Source organism: Homo sapiens, chromosome 1 (genome assembly GCF_000001405.40).
Source record: "Homo sapiens chromosome 1, GRCh38.p14 Primary Assembly".
Lineage (NCBI taxonomy): Eukaryota > Metazoa > Chordata > Mammalia > Primates > Hominidae > Homo > Homo sapiens.
In genome coordinates, this window is record NC_000001.11 from 23,983,455 (window position 1) to 24,002,914 (window position 19,460).

The window sequence follows — 19,460 nt, forward strand, 5'->3', positions numbered from 1 at the left end:
GATACACTAAGGGATTTTGGAAGCGCAACATCGCATCCCGGAAGTGCTGCCCAGTGTGCTAAGAGCACTGTATTTAATTCTGAGTATAACACCAGGGCCGGTAATTTTTCTGAAGACCCAAATGATAAGTTCTCTCTCTCTCTTTCTTTATTTTCCTTCTTTCCCTTTTTTTAGAGATGGAGTCTTGCTCTGTCGCCCAGGCTGGAGTGCAGTGGTAGGATCTCGGCTCACTGCAACCTCTGCCTCCCGGGTTCAAGCGATTCTTCTGCCTCAGCCTCCCAAGTAGCTGGGATTACAGATGCCCGCCACCTCACCTGGCTAAGTTTTTGTATTTTTAGTAGAGATGGGGTTTCACCATGTTGGCCAGGCTGGTCTCAAACTCCTGACCTCATGATCCACACGTCTCAGCCTCCCGAAGTGCTGGCATTACAAGCATGAGCCACCGTGCCCGGCCTCTTTCTTCTTTTCTTTCTTTCCTTGTTTTTTTTTTTTTTTTTTTTTGAGACAGTCTTGCTCTGTCTGGAGTATAGTGGTGCGATCACAGCTCACTGCAACCTCCACCTCCCAGGCTCAAATGATCCTCCCACCTCAGCCTCCCTAGTAGCTGGGACTACAGGTTCGTGCCACCATGCTTGGCTAATTCTGTAAGGTTTTTGTAGAGACGAGTTTTACTATATTGCTCAGGCTGGTCTCGAACTCCTGGGCTCAAGCAATCATCCTGCGTCAGCCTCCCAAATTGCTGGGATTACAGGTGTGAGCCCCTGCACTTGGCCTCCAAATGTTAATTTCTGAAAATGATCTGTTGGGTGCTGCACCTCTTCTTGAAGACACTATGTTTTATTGAGATTTATGTTAGAAAACCACTTTCCTTGGTACTGTTCTCAGAACTGCACAAATAAAACCCAAATGTAAACAATATAACTGAATTTCCTTGATCCTGAAATAGTTCTTCCTTGATTTGTGGGTAATGGCACACTCATTGAGCCATTCTGCTTGCTGGAAGGAGACTCACAGGGACAAATACTGTGTGTTAAGTCAGTGGAATTCTGAGCCTGACTCCATAGGCAGAACCAAAGCCTTGAGTCAATACAACATTAATTTTATTGGTACAATTGCTTAATTCAGACAACTGCCACAGACAGTGCTTGGTGTTGTGTCTCTGTCTCCATGAGCAAACAATCAATTAGAAGCATGTTCATTTAATTTGTTTGATAAGACATGCCTGGTATTTCCTATAAGCTGCCTCACTCTAGTGAGTGGGCAGCAAGCCAAGTTCTTCAGACTGCGAGAACTCAGTGTTCTCATTTAAACATTCCTTTACTTGTGAGTTGGAAACTTTTGGGCACATACATATGTACACATTTATCAATTTATTAATATCTATGTGCAGGCTCACCTTTCAACCCCTGCTCTGACTAATTTTGCTCTGTGGGAGAATTCATGGCTAATGGACATATTTTTTCACCACATTATTTTTTTAATTTTTATTTTTTTGAGACAGGGTCTCGCTCTGTTGCCCAGCCTGGAATGCAGTGGCAGAGTCATGACTTATTGCAGCCTTGACCTCCCAGGCTCAAGAGATCATCCCACCTCAGCCTCCCAAGTAGCTGAGACTGAGACGCAAGCCACCACGCCCCACTAATTTTTTTTTTCTAATTTTTTGTAGAGATGGAGTCTCACTACATTACCCAGGCCCATCTTGAACTCCTGGGCTCAAGCTGTCCTCCCACCGAGGCCTCCCAAAGTGTTGAGATTACAGGTGTGAGACACTACTTCTGGCTTAATGCCTTAAAATAACACTTTTCCTAGTTATACATGTTAAAACTTTGGAGATGAAAAATATAAAGGAAACAAAAATCACCTGTTATCCTACCACTCAGAACTAATTGCTATTAAAACTTCGATTATTATTATTATTTTGAGAAGGAGTTTTGCTCTTGTCACCCAGACTGGAGTGCAGTGGCGTGATCTCAGTTCCCTGCAAACTCCGCCTCCTGGATTCTCCTCCCTCAGCCTCTTGAGTAGCTGGGATTACAGGCGCCTGCCACCATGCCCAGCTAATTTTTGTACTTTAAATAGAGACGAAGTTTCACCATGTTGGCCCGGCTGGTCTCGAACTCCTGACTTGAAGCGATCTGCCCACCTTGGCCTCCCAAAGTGCTAGGATTACAGGTGTGAGCCACCACGCCCGACCTAGAGTCTGACTCTTAAATGCTACATGACATCTCCCTGGAAAAGTAGATCAGGGAGCTCTGATTTACCAAGGAGTGCGTGTAGGGGCTGAGAAAAGGTAAGAACCTTTACCTTAAGACTTTATAGAATTCTCAAGGCTTACTGTTCTTTGTAGCCTGGTTATCTAGGCTAACATGTAACAATTGGTATCATGTAACAAAGGGCATGGGAAAGAACTGAATAAATACAATCATGGGCTTCATAACAAGGTTTTGGTCAATAATTGGCCCTGTATACCAGTAGTCTCCAACCTTTTTGGCACCAGGGACCAGTTTCTTTTTTTTGTTTGTTTGTTTGTTTTGTAATAGTTTTATAGGTTCATTTATTTATTACATTTAAATCTTTGCTTGTGTGAAATCTCTTTCAATGAAACTTGTGAGATAGGGATTTGAATTTATTTTTTCCAGTGGGCTACCCTATACTACAATACAATTCTGGATAACCTACCATTGCCCCTTTTTATTTTTTAGAGTCAGGATCTCACTCCATCACCCAGGCTGGAGTGCAGTGGTGCGATCATAGTGCACTACACCCTCAAGCTCCTGGGCTCAAGTAATTCTCCTACCTCAGCCTCCCAAGTATTAACAGGTAGGACTGCAGGCATGTGCCATCATGCCTAGCTAATTTTTTAAATTTTTGTAGAGACGGGTTTCAAACTCCTGACCTCAAGCAATTTTCCCACCTTTGCCTCAAAGTGTTGGGATGACAGGCGCGAACTATGACACCCTCCCTTCTCCATTGATTTGAAATGCCACTTTATGTATTTGGGTCATTTCTGGATGCTCTATGCTGTCTTATTCAAATGGATTAGTTATCCTAGCTTTATATTTTATTGGCTTGTTTAGCTATTTCTTTTCTTTTTTTTTTTTTATTGATCATTCTTGGGTGTTTCTCACAGAGGGGGATTTGGCAGGGTCATAGGACAATAGTGGAGGGAAGGTCAGCAGATAAACAAGTGAACAAAGATCTCTGGTTTTCCTAGGCAGAGGACCCTGCGGCCTTCCACAGTGTTTGTGTCCCTGGGTACTTGAGATTAGGGAGTGATGATGACTCTTAACGAGCATGCTGCCTTCAAGCATCTATTTAACAAAGCACATCTTGCACCGCCCTTAATCCATTTAACCCTGAGTGGACACCGCACATGCCCCAGAGAGCACAGGGCTGGGGGCAAGGTCACAGATCAACAGCATCCCAAGGCAGAAGAACCCCTCCCAGTACAGAACAAAATGAAGTCTCCCATGTCTACTTCTTTCTACACAGACACAGTAACAATCTGATTTCTCTATCTTTTCCCCACCTTTCCCCCTTTTCTATTCCACAAAACCGCCATCGTCATCATGGCCCGTTCTCAATGAGCTGTTGGGTACACCTCCCAGACGGGGTGGTGGCCGGGCAGAGGGGCTCCTCACTTCCCAGAAGGGGCGGCCGGGCAGAGGCGCCCCCCACCTCCCTCTCGGACGGGGCGGCTGGCCGGGTGGGGGCTGACCCCCACCTCCCTCCCGGACGGGGCGGCTGGCCGGGTGGGGGCTGAACCCCCACCTCCCTCCCGGAAGGGGCGGCTGGCCGGGCGGGGGCTGAACCCCCACCTGCCTCCCGGACGGGGCGGCTGGCCAGGCGGGGGCTGACCCGCCACCTCCCTACCAGGGACCAGTTTCATGGAAGACAGTTTTTCCATGGATCAAGGATGGGGGATGGTTTCAGGATGATTCAAGTACATTACATATATTGTGCGCTTTATTTATATTATTATTAAGCTGTATTATATAATGAAATAATTATATAGCTCATCATAGTGTAGAATCGGTGGGAGCTCTGAGCTTGTTTTCTTGCAACTAGGCGGTCCTATCTGGGGGTAATAGGAGACAGTGACAGATCATCAGGCATTAGATTCTCATAAGGAGCGTGCAACCTAGATCCCTCGCGTGCGCAGTTCACAGTAGGGTTCGTGCTCCTATGAGAATCTAATGCTGCCACCAATCTGACAGGAGGTGGAGCTCAGGTGGTAATGCAAGTGATGGGGGGTGGCTGTAAATACAGATGAAGCTTCGCTTGCTCACCCGCTGATCACCTCTGGTGGTGTGGCCTACTTCCTAACAGGCCGCAGACTGGTACTGGTCTGTGGCCTGGGGTTTGGGGACCCCACCTATATACAATGGGGCTCCCATGAGATTATAATGAGCTGATTATAAAGATTATAGAATTATAGCGATGTCATAGCTGTCTTAATGTCATAAGTTAATGTCATTATTGTTATGTGGTGTTGCTGGTGTAAATAAACCTACTGGGCTGTCAGTTGTATAAAAGTATAGCATAGGCCAGGCATGGTGGCCTACACCTGTAATCCCAGTGCTTTGGGAGGCCAAGGTGGGAATGAGATCCTGTCTCAAAAAATAAAGAAGTATAGCATATACAATTATGTACAGTACATAATACTTGATAATGATAATAAATGATTATGTTACTGGTTTATGTATTTACTATACTATGCTTTTTATTTTGTATAACTTTTTGTTTTTAATTTTTGGGGATACATAGGATATATATATTTATGGGTTACAATATATACACATATAATATTAGTATTAATAGTTTTTAATAACTACTAAAAAGTATAGTTTAGAGTGTACTCCTTCTATTTATATATTAGAAAGTTAACTGTAAAGCAGCCTCTGGGCCAGGTGCAGTGGCTCACACCTGTAATCCCAGCACTTTGAGAGACTGAGGCAGGCAGATCATTTGAGGTCAGGAGTTTGAGACCAGCCTGGCCAACATGGTCACTGTGTTACAGTTGACTATAATATTCAGTACAGTAACATGCTGTTCAAGTTTGTGGCCTAGGAGCAATATCCTATATCATCTAGGTTTGTGTAAGTATACTTTGATGTTTGGACATTGATGAAATTGCCTAATGATGCGTTTTTCAGAAAAAAATCCCCACCATTAAGCCATGCATGACTGTGTGAGAATGTTGAAACCAGGCCGAGGTGGGAGGACTGCTTAAGGCCAGGAGTTCAAAACCAACCTGGGCAACATACTGAGACCCTACCTCTGAAAAAATAATTAGGCACGGTGGCACACACCTGTAGTCCCCCCTACTAGGAAGGCTGAGGTGGGAGGATCACTTGAGCTCAAGAGGTTGAAGCTGCAGTAAGCCATGATTGTACCACTATGCTCCAGCCTGCGTGACAGAGGGAGACCCTGTTTTTAAAAAAAAATGTATAGAGGTCATCCTGTTAATGGATTTCAGTCATCCTTAAAAGGCCACAAAGCTTCTTTTTCAAACAAATTATTATCAGAAATCCAATATATAGAATTGTATCTGTCTTGTCTCATGTTGGGGAGAGGAAAAAAAAAACAGAAAAAAACAAGTTAAGGTGCAGTGGCTTATCCTGTAATCCCAGCATTTTGGAGGCTGAGGCAGGAGGATTGCTTGAGCCCAGGAGTTCAACCGATTAACATAGCAGAGGCCCCCTCTACAGAAAAAAAAAAAAATAGCTGGGCATGGTGGCACATGACTACAGTTCCAGCTACTCAGGAAGTTGAGAAGGAAGATTGCTTGAGCCCAGGAGGTTGAGGCTGCAGTGAGCTATGATTGTGCCACTGCACTCCAACCTGGGCTAAAGAGTGAGACTCAATCTCCAAACAAAAAACAACAACAACAACAAAACCATACCTGGAGGGTGGAACCGCCTATAAAAGACTACTGATCTGGTTTAATCTCCTCACTTTATAGGCAGGAAGGGAGGGATGCACCCCAGCCCACACCGCAAGTGAGTGGGAGAGTTTGTTCTAGAAAACTGCCAGCTGGCTGCTGTGCCTACATATTATCTGCAAACTACAGTTGTTTGAAGGAAGCCTGTAAAGCCACTTATCCATTTGGTGAAGATGAGTTTAGTTAAAATTAGATTATATTATTAAATTACATTCATTGAGCTATAATTTTTTTTTTGAGACGGAGTCTAGCTCTGTTGCCCAGGCTGGAGTGCAGTGACATGATTTCAGCTCACTGCAACCTCCACTTCCCAGCTTCAAGCAATCCTCCTGCCTCAGCCTCCTGAGTAGCTGGGATTACAGGTGTGCACCACCACGCCTGGCTAATTTTTTGTGTTTTTAGCGGAGACAGGGTTTGCCCATGTTGGCCAGGCTGGTCTTGAACTCCTGACCTCAGGTGATCTGCCTGCCTTGGCCTCCCAAAGTGCTGGGATTACAGGTGTGAGCCACCGCACTCGGCAGATGAGTAAGTTCTTTAGTGGTGATTTGTGAGATTTGGGTGCACCCATCACCTGAGCAGTTTACACTATACCCTATTTGTTGTCTTTTATCCCTCACCTCTCTCCCACCCTTCCCCCCAAGTCCCCAAAGTCCATTGTATCATTTTTATGCCTTTGTATCCTCATAGCTTAGCTCCCACATATCAATGAAAACATACGATGTCTGGTTTTCCATTCCTGAGTTACTTTACTTAGAATAATAGTCTCCAATCTCATCCAGGTCACTGTGAATGCCATTAATTCATTCCTCTTTATGGCTGAGTAGTATTCAATCATTATCTATCTATCTATCTATCTATCTATCTATCATCTATCTATCTATCACAGTTTCTTTTTCTACTTGTTGATTGATGGGCATTTGGGTTGGTTCCACGATTTTGCAATTGCAAATTGTGCTGCTATAATCATACGTGTGCAAGTATCTTTTTTGTATAATGACTTCTTTTCCTCTGGGTAGATACACAGTAGTGGGATTGCTGGATCAAATGGTGGTTCTACTTTTAGTTCTTTAAGGGATCTCCACACTGTTTTCCATAGTCACTGTACTAGTTTACATTCCCACCAGCAGTGTAGAGGTGTTCTCTGATCACAGCATCCACTCCAACATCTACCGTTTTTTTTTTATTTTTTGATTATGGCAATTCTTGCAGGAGTAAGGTTGTTACTTACTCCTGCAAGTAACAGGAGTTACTTGTGGTTTTGATTTGCATTTCCTGATCATTAGTGATGTTGAACATTTTTTCATAATGTTTATTGACCATTTGTGTATCTTCTTTTAAGAATTGTCTATTTGTGTCCTTAGACCATTTTTTTTTTTTTTTTGAGACAGAGTCTCACTCTGTTGCCCAGGCTGGAGTGCAGTGATCTCGGCTCACTGCAACCTCTGCCTCCCAGGTTCAAGTGATTCTCCTGCCTTAGCTTCCCGAGTAGCTGGGATTACTGGTGCGTGCCACTACGCCCAGTTGATTTTTTGTATTTGTAGTAGAGATGGAGTTTTGCCATGTTGGCCATGCTGGTCTCAAACTCCTCACCTCAGGTGATCTGCCTACCTCGGCCTCCCCAAGTGCTGGGATTACAGGCGTGAGCCACCCTGCCTGGCCCTTAGCCCACTTTTTGATGGGATTGTTTTTTTCTTGCTGATTTGTTTGAGTTTGTTGTAGATTCTGGATATTAGTCCTTTGTCAGATGTATAGTTAGTGAAGATTTTCTCCCATTCTATGGGTTGTCTATTTACTCTGCTGACTGTTCCTTTTGCTGTGCACAAACTCTTTAGTTTAATTAAGTCCCAGCTGTTTATCTTTGTTTTTATTGCATTTGCTTTTGGGTTCTTGGTCATGAAATTGTCTAAGCCAATGTCTAGAAGGGCTTTTCCAATGTTATCTTCTAGAATTTTTATAGTTTCAAGTCTTAGATTTAAGTCCTTAATCCATCTTGAGTTGATTTTTTTTTTTTTTTTTTTTGAGACGGAGTCTTGCTCTGTCGCCCAGGCTGGAGTGCAGTGGCGCGATCTCAGCTCATTGCAAGCTCCGCCTCCCGGGTTCACGCCATTCTCCTGCCTCAGCCTCCCGAGTAGCTGGGACTACAGGCGCCTGCCACTGCGCCCAGCTAATTTTTTGTATTTTTAGTAGAGATGGGGTTTCACCGTGGTCTCGATCTCCTGACCTTGTGATCCGCCCGCCTCAGCCTCCCAAAGTGCTCAGATTACAGGCGTGAGCCACCGCGCCCGGCCCGAGTTGATTTTTGTATAAGGTGAGAGATGAGGATCCAGTCTCATTCTCCTACAAGTGGACAGCCAATTACCCCAGCACCATTGTTGAAAAGGGTGTCCTTTCCCTACTTTATGATTTTGTTTGCTTTGTTGAAGATCGGTTGGCTGTAAGTATTTGAGTTTATTTATGTGTTCTCTATTCTGTTCCATTGGTCTATGTGCCTATTTTTATACCAGTATCATGTGGTTTTGGTGAGTATGGCCTTGTAGTATAGTTTGAAATCAGGTACAGTGATGCCTCCAGATTCGTTCTTGTTGCTTAGTTCTGTTTTGCCTATATGGGGTCTTTTTGGTTCCACACGAATTTTAGAATTTTTTTTCTAGTTCTGTGAAGAATGAACCCTGACCCTTTCTGATTGTGGTTTCTTTCTTTCTTCTTCTTCTTCTTTTTTTTTTTTTTTAATGAGATGGAGTTTCGCTCTTACTGCCCAAGCTGGAGTGCAATGACGTGATCTCAGCTCGCTGTAACCTCCGCCTCCCGGGTTCAAGCGATTCTCCTGCCTCAGCCTCCTGAGTAGCTGGGATTATAGGTGCCCGCCACCAAGCCCGACTAATTTTGTATTTTTAGTTGAGATAGGATTGCTCCATGTTCGTCAGGCTGGTCTCAAACTCCCAACCTCAGGTGATCTGCCCGCCTTGGCCTCCCAAAATGCTGGGATTATAGACGCAAGCCACCGTGCCTGGCCCTTTTTTTTTTTTTTTTGAAACTGAGTCTCACTCTTGTCGCCCAGGCTGGAGCGCAATGGCGTAATCTCAGCTCACTGCAACCTCCACCTCCTGGGTTCAAGCAATTCTCCTGACTCGGCCTCCCCAGTAGCTAGGATTACAGGCGCCTGCCACCATGCCTGGCTAATTTTTGTATTTATAGTAGAGATGGGGTTTCGCCATGTTGGCCAGGCTGGTCTCGAACTCCTGACCTCAGATGACCCACCTGCCTCGCCCTCCCAAAGTGTTAGTGCCTGGCCCAACTGATTGTGGGTCTTTTTTTTTTTTTTTTTTTAATTTATTTTTTTATTGATAATTCTTGGGTGTTTCTCACAGAGGGGGATTTGGCAGGGTCATGGGACAATAGTGGAGGGAAGGTCAGCAGATAAACAAGTGAACAAAGGTCTCTGGTTTTCCTAGGCAGAGGACCCTGCGGCCTTCCGCAGTGTTTGTGTCCCTGATTACTTGAGATTAGGGATTGGTGATGACTCTTAACGAGCATGCTGCCTTCAAGCATCTGTTTAACAAAGCACATCTTGCACCGCCCTTAATCCATTTAACCCTGAGTGGACACAGCACATGTTTCAGAGAGCACAGGGTTGGGGGTAAGGTCACAGATCAACAGGATCCCAAGGCAGAGGAATTTTTCTTAGTGCAGAACAAAATGAAAAGTCTCCCATGTCTACTTCTTTCTACACAGACAGGGCAACCATCCGATTTCTCAGTCTTTTCCCCACCTTTCCCGCCTTTCTATTCCACAAAGCCGCCATTGTCATCCTGGCCCGTTCTCAATGAGCTGTTGGGCACACCTCCCAGACGGGGTGGTGGCCGGGCAGAGGGGCTCCTCACTTCCCAGTAGGGGCGGCCGGGCAGAGGCGCCCCTCACCTCCCGGACGGGGCGGCTGGCCTGGCGGGGGGGCTGACCCCCCCCACCTCCCTCCCGGACGGGGCGGCTGGCCGGGCAGAGGGGCTCCTCACTTCCCAGTAGGGGCGGCCGGGCAGAGGCGCCCCTCACCTCCCGGACGGGGAGGCTGGCCGGGCAGGGGGGCTGACCCCCCCCACCTCGCTCCCGGACGGGGCGGCTGGCTGGGCGGGGGGCTGACACCCCCACCTCCCTCCCGGACGGGGCGGCTGGCCGGGCAGAGGGGCTCCTCACTTCCCAGTAGGGGCGGCCGGGCAGAGGCGCCCCTCACCTCCCGGACGGGGAGGCTGGCCGGGCGGGGGGGCTGACCCCCCCCACCTCCCTCCCGGACGGGGCGGCTGGCCGGGCGGGGGGCCGACCCCCCCACCTCCCTCCCGGACGGGGCGGCTGGCCGGGCGGGGGGCCGACCCCCCCACCTCCCTCCCGGACGGGGCGGCTGGCCGGGCGGGGGGCCGACCCCCCCACCTCCCTCCCGGACGGGGCGGCTGGCCGGGCGGGGGGCCGACCTCCCCACCTCCCTCCCGGACGGGGCGGCTGGCCGGGCGGGGGGCCGACCCCCCCACCTCCCTCCCGGACGGGGCGGCTGGCCGGGCAGAGGGGCTCCTCACTTCCCAGTAGGGGCGGCCGGGCAGAGGTGCCCCTCACCTCCCAGACGGGGCGGCTGGCCGGGCGGAGGGCTGACCCCCCAACCTCCCTCCCGGACGGGGCGGCTGGCCGGGCGGGGGGCTGACCCCCCCACCTCCCTCCCGGACGGGGCGGCTGGCCGGGTGGGGTGGCTGACCCCCCCATCTCCCTCCCGGACGGGGTGGCTGGCCGGGCTGAGGGGCTCCTCACTTCCCAGTAGGGGCGGCCGGGCAGAGGCGCCCCTCACCTCCCGGACGGGGCGGCTGGCCGGGCGGGGGGCTGACCCCCCCACCTCCCTCCCGGACGGCATGGCTGGCCAGGCGGGGGGCTGACCCCCCCACCTCCCTCCCGGATGGCACGGCTGGCCGGGCGGGGGGGCTGACCCCCCACCTCCCTCCCGGATGGGGCGGCTGGCCGGGCGGGAGGCTGACCCCCCCCCACCTCCCTCCCGGACGGGGTGGCTGCCGGGCGGAGACGCTCCTCACTTCCCAGATGGGGTGGCTGCCGGGTGGAGAGGCTCCTCACTTCTCAGACGGGGCAGCTGCCGGGCGGAGGGGCTCCTCACTTCTCAGACGGGGTGGTTGCCAGGCAGAGGGTCTCCTCACTTCTCAGACGGGGCGGCCGGGCAGAGACGCTCCTCACCTCCCAGACGGGGTCTCGGCCGGGCAGAGGCGCTCCTCACATCCCAGATGGGGCGGCGGGGCAGAGGCGCTCCCCACATCTCAGACGATGGGCGGCCGGGCAGAGACGCTCCTCACTTCCTAGATGGGATGGCGGCTGGGAAGAGGCGCTCCTCACTTCCTAGATGGGATGGCGGCCGGGCGGAGACGCTCCTCACTTTCCAGACTGGGCAGCCAGGCAGAGGGGCTCCTCACATCCCAGACGATGGGCGGCCAGGCAGAAACACTCCTCACTTCCCAGACGGGGTGGCAGCCAGGCAGAGGCTGCAATCTCGGCACTTTGGGAGGCCAAGGCCGGCGGCTGCTCCTTGCCCTCGGGCCCCGCGGGGCCCGTCCGCTCCTCCAGCCGCTGCCTCCCGGGCGGCGCTCGCCGGCGCGGCGGCAAAGACTGATTGTGGGTCTTAAGACCCTCCCATAAGAGGGTCCCATCCTATACCCTGAGGTAAGGAATGCTGATGTCATGAAGCCTCCGTGAAAATCCACGAGGACAGGGTTCAGGAGCTTCTGGATACTTGAAAAAGTGGAGCCTCCTGAAGGGTGGCACAACCAGGGAGGCCATGGAAGCTCTGAGCCCCTTCCCCCATACCTTGCCTTACATGTCCCTTCTTCTGTATCCCTGGCAATATCCTATATAATAAACCAGTAAATGTAAGTGTTTCTCTGAATTCTGTGAGCCGCTCCAGCAAATTAATTGAACTCAAAGAGGGGGTCATGGGAACCTCAACTTGAAGCTGGTTGGTCAGAAGTTCTGGAGGCCTGGACTTATGACTGATGTTTGTATGTATTGTTGGGGGTAGGGGCAGTCTTGGGGACTGAGCCCTCAACCTGTGGGATCTGGCACTGTCTTAGGGTACATAGTGTTAGAGCCGAATTGGAGAACACCCAGCTGGTGTCTGCTGCTTGGTGTGTGTGGGAAAAAACCGACTCATTTGGTCACAGAAATCTTTTGTGTTGACGTGGTTGTTGTGGTATGAGAGTAGGGGAAAAACACAGAGTTCTCGGGGCGCGGGGGCGGGGGGGCTCACGGCTGTAATCCCACCACTTTGGGAGGCCGAGATGGGTGGATTACCTGAGTTCAGGAGTTAGTGACCACCCTGGCCAACGTGGTGAAACCCCATCTCTACTAAAAATACAAACATTAGCCGGGCGTGGTGGCGGGTGCCTGTAATCCCAGCTACTCAGGAGGCTGAGGCAGGAGAATCGCTTGAACCCAGGAGGCAGAGGTTGCAGTAAGCTGAGATTGCACCACCGCACTCCAGCCTGGGCAACAAAAGCGAAACTCCATCTCAAAAAACAAAAAACAAAAGCCACAGAGTTTTTCCTACACAGGGTCTTTATTTTCAAATGGGGGCTCCTATGTAGATGTAAACATCTGTATGCTTTCCTCCTGTTAATTTGCATTATGTCAATTTAATTTGCAGACCCAGTTGGAGACCCTAAGAGGGCAGAGAAAAGTCGTGCCCCCCTATTCCCTTCTCAGGCCAGGTTGCAGTACTTGTCCATTCACTTTACAATTGGCAAAGAAAATCACAAGGCACCCACATAGATCACCTGGGTTCCACGTATATTCATCCCAACCCCCATTCTATTATTTAATGATTTATTTATTTATTTATTTTGAGAGTCTCACTCTGTCACCCAGGCTGGAGTGCAGTGGTGGGATCTTGGCTCACTGCAACCTCCTCCTGCCGGGTTCAAGCGACTCTCCTGCCTTAGCCTCCTGAGTAGCTGGGATTACAGGTGTGTGCCAGCACACCCTGCCCCAACCCCCATTCTAGAACAATAACTCTATCTTTCCCTGTTGAGGAGGGTCAGTTGAGACCAGTTGTGAGGAATAGTATCAGAGGCTCAGCATTGTTTTTGTTTTGTTTTGTTTTTGAGACAGTTTCACTCTTGTTGCCCAGGCTAGAGTGCAATGGCCTGATCTTGGCTCACAGCAACCTCTGTCTCCCAGGTTCAAGCGATTCTCCTGCCTCAGCCTCCCAAGTAGCTGGGATTATGGGCGCCCACAACCACACCTGGCTAATTTTTGTATTTTTAGTAGAGACGGGGTTTCACCATGTTGACCAGGCTGGTCTTGAACTCCTGACCTCAGGTGATCTGCCTGCCTCAGCCTCCCAAAGTGCTGGGACTACAGGCGTGACCCACTGCGCCTGGCCACAGCATTGATTTTTGTAGCCGTTAGGTAAGCAGCAGCTAGATCAGTCTTGGTAAATGGGAGTCTATTCCAGGTGTCAGAAAACTATAACCCTCAGGCCAAATCTGGCTTGCAGCCTGTTTTTGTATTGCCCATGTGCTAAGAATGGATTTTGCATTTTTATTGATTTACTTTATCGCATTTTTTTTTTAAGACACAAGGTCTCGCTCTGTCGCCTAGGCTAGAGTACAGTGCTATGATCATATGATACAGCAGTAGGCTGCTCATGGGAGCCTCAAAATCTAGGGCTTAAGTGATCCTCCCCCCTTAGCCTCCTGAGTAGCTGGAATTACAGCCTTGAATCACCACCATGCCTGGCTAACTAAAAAAAAAAAATTTTGGCCAGCTGCGGTGGCTCACACGTGTAATCCGAGCACTTTGGGAGGCTGAGGCAGGTGGATTGCTTCAGGCCAGAAGTTTGAGCCCAGCCTGGACAATATGGTGAAACCCCATCTCTACTAAAAATACAAAAATTAGTCGGGGGTGGTGGCACGCACCAGTTTCGAACTCCTGTAATTCCAGCTACTCCGGAGGCTGAGGCAGAAGAATAGCTTGAACCCAGGAGGTAGAGGTTGCAGTGAGCTGAGATAAAGCCACTGCACTCCAGCGTGGGCGACGAGCAAGATCTGTCTCAGAAAAAAAATTTTTTTTTTAGAGATGGGGGGGTGTCTCACTATGTTGCCCAGGCTGGCCTTGAACTCCTGGCCTAAAGCAATCTTCCTGCGTTGGCCTCCCAAAGAGTTGGGATGACAGGAATGAGCCACTGCACCCACCTGTTTTACAGTTTTAAATGGTTGAAAAAAATCAACCATTTCTTGGTATTAATCAAAGAAGATTAATATTGATTTACAATATTTGTATTATAAACTGATTTCCTCTACTGACTATACATTTCTTAAAAGCAGGGACTTTGTTTTATTAGTGACAGGATAGTCTGGCATGGCAAAACTGTGGAATAACATGTTAATCTATGGAACCCTTGTGCATTGCTGATGGGATGTAAAATGGTGCAGTTGCCGTGAAAAACTGGCAGTTCCTCAATAAGTTAAACATTGAATTACTGCATGATACAGCAATTCCACTCCTGGGTATGTGCTCAAAAGAATTGAAAACAGGTGTTTGAACAAAAACTTGTACACAAATGTTTATAACAGCACTATTCACAATAGCCAAAAGTTGCAAACAGGCCAAATGTCCATCAACTGATGAATGGATAAATAAAATATGGTATATTAATACAAGGGACATTATTCAGCTATAAAAAGAAATGAAGTACTGTGACATGCTACACCATAGATGAACCTTGAAAACATTATGTTAAGTGAAAGCCAGACACAAATGGCCACATAATGTATGATTCCATTTATATGAAATATCCAGAATAGGGAAAATCCACAGAGACCATAAGCAGATTAGTGGTTCCCAGGGGCTAAGGAGAGTAAACTGCTCAGTAGGTGGGAAGTTTCCTTTTGGGGTGATGAAAAAGTTCTGGAACTAGATAGTGGTGATGATTGCACATCATTGTGAATGTACTGAATGTCACAGAACTGTGTACTTCAGAATGGTTAAAATAGTAAATTGTATCTTATGTGTATTTTACCACAATTTTAAAAATAGGCTATACAAATAGGAAAAAAATTTGATCTATCACTGAATGTCAGACATTTGCATTATTTCCTAGTTTTCCTTTTTTTTTTTTTTTTCTGAGGCAGGGTCTCACTCTGTCACCCAGGCTGGAGTGCAGTGGCACAATCATGGCATCCTCTACCTCCCCAGGCTCAGGTCATCCTCCTACCTTAGCCTTCCGTGTAGCTGGGACTATAGGAGTACACCATCACGCTTGGCTGATTTTCGTATTTTTTTCTTTTAATAGAGATGGGGTTTTGCCACGTTGCCCAGGCTGGTCTCAAATTCCTGGGCTCAAGCAATCTGCCTGCCTTAGCCTCCCAAAGTGTTGGGATTACAGGCATTAGCCATTACACCTGGCCCTATTTCCCATTTTTTATTGTTAAAACTAACTGATATGGTTTGGCTGTGCCCCACCTAAAATCTCATTTTGAATTGTAATCTCCATAATCCCCACGTGTCAAGAGAAAGACTAGGTAGAGGTAATTGAATCATGGCTGGGGTGGGGAGTAGGGGGTTGGGGGATGGTTTCACTTTTGCTGTTCTCGGGGTAGTGAGTGCTCATGAGATCTGATGGTTTTATAAGGGGCTCTTCTCCCTTCCCTCAACACTTTTCCTTCCTGCTGCCTTGTAAAGAAGGTCCCTTGCTTCCCCTTTGCCTTCCACCATGATTGTAAGTTTCCTGAGGCCTCCCCAGGCATGCTGAACTGTGAGTCGATTAAACCTCTTTCTGTTATAAATTACCCAGTCTCGGTCAGTTCTTTATAGCAGTATGAAAGTGGACTAATACACTAACCTTGAGATAACCATTGTTGTTCATCTCAGAAGCACACAATTTTAAGGACAAATTCCAAAGTGTTGAATGACTGAGTTAAAGAACAATTTTAAGAACTTGATATACAAGATAAAAATAACCTTTGGAAAGGTCGCATTGGTTTCATTCTCATTACCCATTCAATACACACACAGTGAACATGTGTAGAGTTTATACTCTGTGCCAGGTATATATGGAAGACTAAGCCACAGTTCTCAGAGGTTTGAAATTTAACTGGATGATATAGGCCTGTAAATAGCCAGCAACAATAAGGTACAATAGATGTAAATTTCAGGTGACACTGGAAACCCAAAGGTTTTTTTTTCAAGATGGAGTCTCTTTCTGTCACCCAATCTGGAGTGCAGTGGCACTATCCTGGCTCACTGCAACCTCTGCCTCCTGGGTTCAAGTGATTCTTCTGCCTCAGCCTCCCGAGTAGCTGAGACTACAGGCATGCACCACCATGCCTGGCTGATTTGTGTATTTTTAGTAGAGACGAGGTTTCACCATGTTGGCCAGGCTGGTCTCGAACTCCTGACCTCAAGTGATCCGCCTGCCTTGGTCTCCCAAAGCACTGGTATTACAGGTGTGAGCCACGGCACCTGGCCCTGATTCACTCCTGTTTAGGAAGGGAGGTGATATCTAAGGACACCAAGGTGTTTTCTCAGCCTGTGTCAGCCATCCTCACCTATTTTGGATGTTACCTTAAAAAAGAAGTTGCCATTTTTCATAGATTAAACCTTTACTTCTTAAAAACATGTTTATTTTATTTATTTATTTTTTGAGACCGAGTTTCGCTTTTGTCTCCCAGGCTGGAGTGCAGAGGCGTGATTGACTCACCACAACCACCTCCTCCCAGGTTCAAACGATTCTCCTGCCTCATCCTCCCAAGTAGCTGGGATTACAGGCATGCACTACCATGCCCGGCTAATTTTTGTATTTTTAGTAGAGACGGAGTTTTGCTGTATTGGCCAGGCTGGTCTTGAACTCCTGACCTCAGGTGATCTGCCTGCCTTGGCCTCCCAAAGTGCTGAGATCACAGGTGTGAGCCACTGCGTCTGGCCTCCATGTTTATTTGATTGCTAGTGAAGATGAAGGTTTTTCTCATGTTTATTGACAACTTTTATTTATTTTGCTCATTTTCCATTGAGATGTAAATGCTTTTCTCAGAATTTTGAAGACTTCTGTGGTGTGATTTTGTTTCAGTTATTTTCACAGCAAATATATTCTGCTGGCTTATGTTTGCTTTTAAGTCTTGTACAGGGTGGTTTTTTAAAAAGTTTTATTGAGGTATAATTTACATACTATAAAATATACCCACTGTGGCTAGGTGCGGCGGCTCATGCCTGTAAACCCAGTACTTTGGGAGGCTGAGGCAGGCAGATCACCTGAGGTCAGGAGTTCCAGACCAGCCTGGCCAACATGGCGAAACCCCATCTCTACTAAAAATACAAAAATTACCCGGGTGTGGTGGCAGGTGCCTGTAATTCCACCCATTTGGGAGGCTGAGGCAGGAGAATCACTTGAACTGGGGAGGCGGAGGTTACAGTGAGCTGAGATCGTGCCATTGCACTCTAGCCTAGGCAGCAAGAGCGAGACTTTGTCCCCCACCAAAAAAAAGAAAAAAAGTATATATATACACACACACACACCCATTGTAAGTGTACAATTCAATGATTTTTAGTAAAATATATAGAGTTTGTATAGACATATCCAAGTCATATGAATATGTAATGAAGTTGTAGAATTGTACAGGGTGTTTTAAAAATATGTATCTCTTTCATTGTATGTAGTCATAGTTAATTTTTATTTCTTTTTAAATTCAAAGTATTTTAGAGATTAAACATATCAGTAAACAAATTAATTAACATTTTTAGAACCATGTTCTATATCAATCATTATTTATTTTCAAATCTGGAACAATGCAAGGAGCCACACAGTTATGGGGGAAAAAAATCACACGATTTTTTTTCACATGGAGAGACTTTAGGCATGAAAAGCAAAGATGCAGAGATTTAACTGTTTAATTTCACTGCTGTTCTTATAATCCAGTGACTTGCATAACACACAGCCTGTAGGCATGTGGAAGAATCAGGTGACTTGAAGCCGTGGGTGAGAAGGTGAAGCTGCTACCTGATCCTGATTTAGGGCAAGACGACCTCTGTTTTAGGACTGTCCTAGGTTTTGTCTTTTTTTTTTTTCTTCTGGGTCAGAGTCTCACTGTATCATTCAGGCTGGAATGCAGTGGCACAATCTCGGTTCACTGCAACCTCTGCCTCCCATGTTCAAGCAATTCTCCTGCCTCAGCCTCCCAAGTAGCTGGGATTACAGGCATGCACCACCACACCTGGCTAATTTTTGTGTTTTTAGTAGAGATGGGGTTTCACCATGTTGGCCAGGCTGGTCTCGAAATCCTGACCTCAGGTGATTCACCCGCCTCAGTCTCCCGAAGTGCTGGGATTACAGGCGTGAGCCACTGCGCCCGGCCAGGACTGTTCTAGGTTTTGACTTTGCTCCCTCTCTGGACTCTGTACACAGAGTGTTTCACTTTAGAAACACTGTCTTTTTTCTTTATTTAAGTCTGACTCTTTCTTCCTCTTTGCTCAGTGATAACTGTTGGGAAGAAATGGCTTGTGTATTATTCACTTCGAATGGACATTTCAGCTTTGGTCCTTGCCTTGAGGATCAAAATATTATCACCTTCGTTCATACTCCTTAGGACCATCTCACCCCTCTCTCACATGGTGAGAGAGCAAGAGAGATGCCAGGCTTTTTTCAAAAGCCAGACCTTGTGTGAACTACTGGAGCAAGAACTCACTCATTACCATGGGGATGGCACCACGCCATTCATAAGGGATCTGGCCCTAAGACCCAAACACCTCCCACCAGGCCCACCTCCAACATTGGAGGCCACATTTCAACATGAGATTTGAAGGAGACACACATCCAAACTACATCATCATCCAAAGATGAGGATAGTAATTTATACCTAATAGGATTTCATAAGGAACAAATATAGTAATACATGTCCAGTATCTTGCACATGGTAGGTGATCAATACATATTTACAAATGTCAATAAATATTAACATTATTATTATTCTCATTCAATGTACATAATTAGGAGTTAGTTAATAAGAGAATACTTTGGTCAGTCAGTACTACATATTAATATAGTTTCAGCTCTGCCAGCAGGAACCAAGGTCAGGAAATAATGGATATGAAGAAGATAAAAGAGGCCGGGTGTGGTAGCTCAAGTCTGTAATCCCAGCACTTTGGGAGGCAGAGGTGGGCAGATCACTTGAGGCAAGGAGTTCAAGACCAGCCTGAGCAACATGGTGAAACCTCATCTCTACAAAAAATTTAAATTAGTTGGGCATGGTGGCACATGCCTGTAGTCCCATGTACTTGGGGGGCTGAGGCGGGAAGGTCACTTGAGCCTGGGTGGTTGAGGCTGCAGTAAGCCATGGATCACACCACTGCACTCCAGCCTGGGTGACAGAGTAAGACCCTGTCCAAAAAAAAAAAGGAAAATAAAAAGTAAAACCTTAACTATTTACAAAATTGAAGAGCATAATCAGAGCTGTTATATATGGATATTCAGGTTGTACACTGCCCAACA

The 19,460-nt window shown here is 47.4% G+C and overlaps 1 long non-coding RNA gene across 1 annotated transcript; it reads right to left on the reverse strand.

Annotated features, from left to right (window-relative positions):
- Positions 1 to 3,953: 3,953 nt before the first annotated feature.
- LOC105378615 (uncharacterized) lies at positions 3,954 to 4,334 on the reverse strand. Its single transcript, XR_947070.1, has 2 exons — positions 4,290 to 4,334; positions 3,954 to 4,078 (listed from the first exon to the last, which is right to left on the reverse strand). It is a non-coding gene; the product is annotated as an uncharacterized LOC105378615 (long non-coding RNA).
- Between the last annotated feature and the right edge of the window lie 15,126 nt (positions 4,335 to 19,460).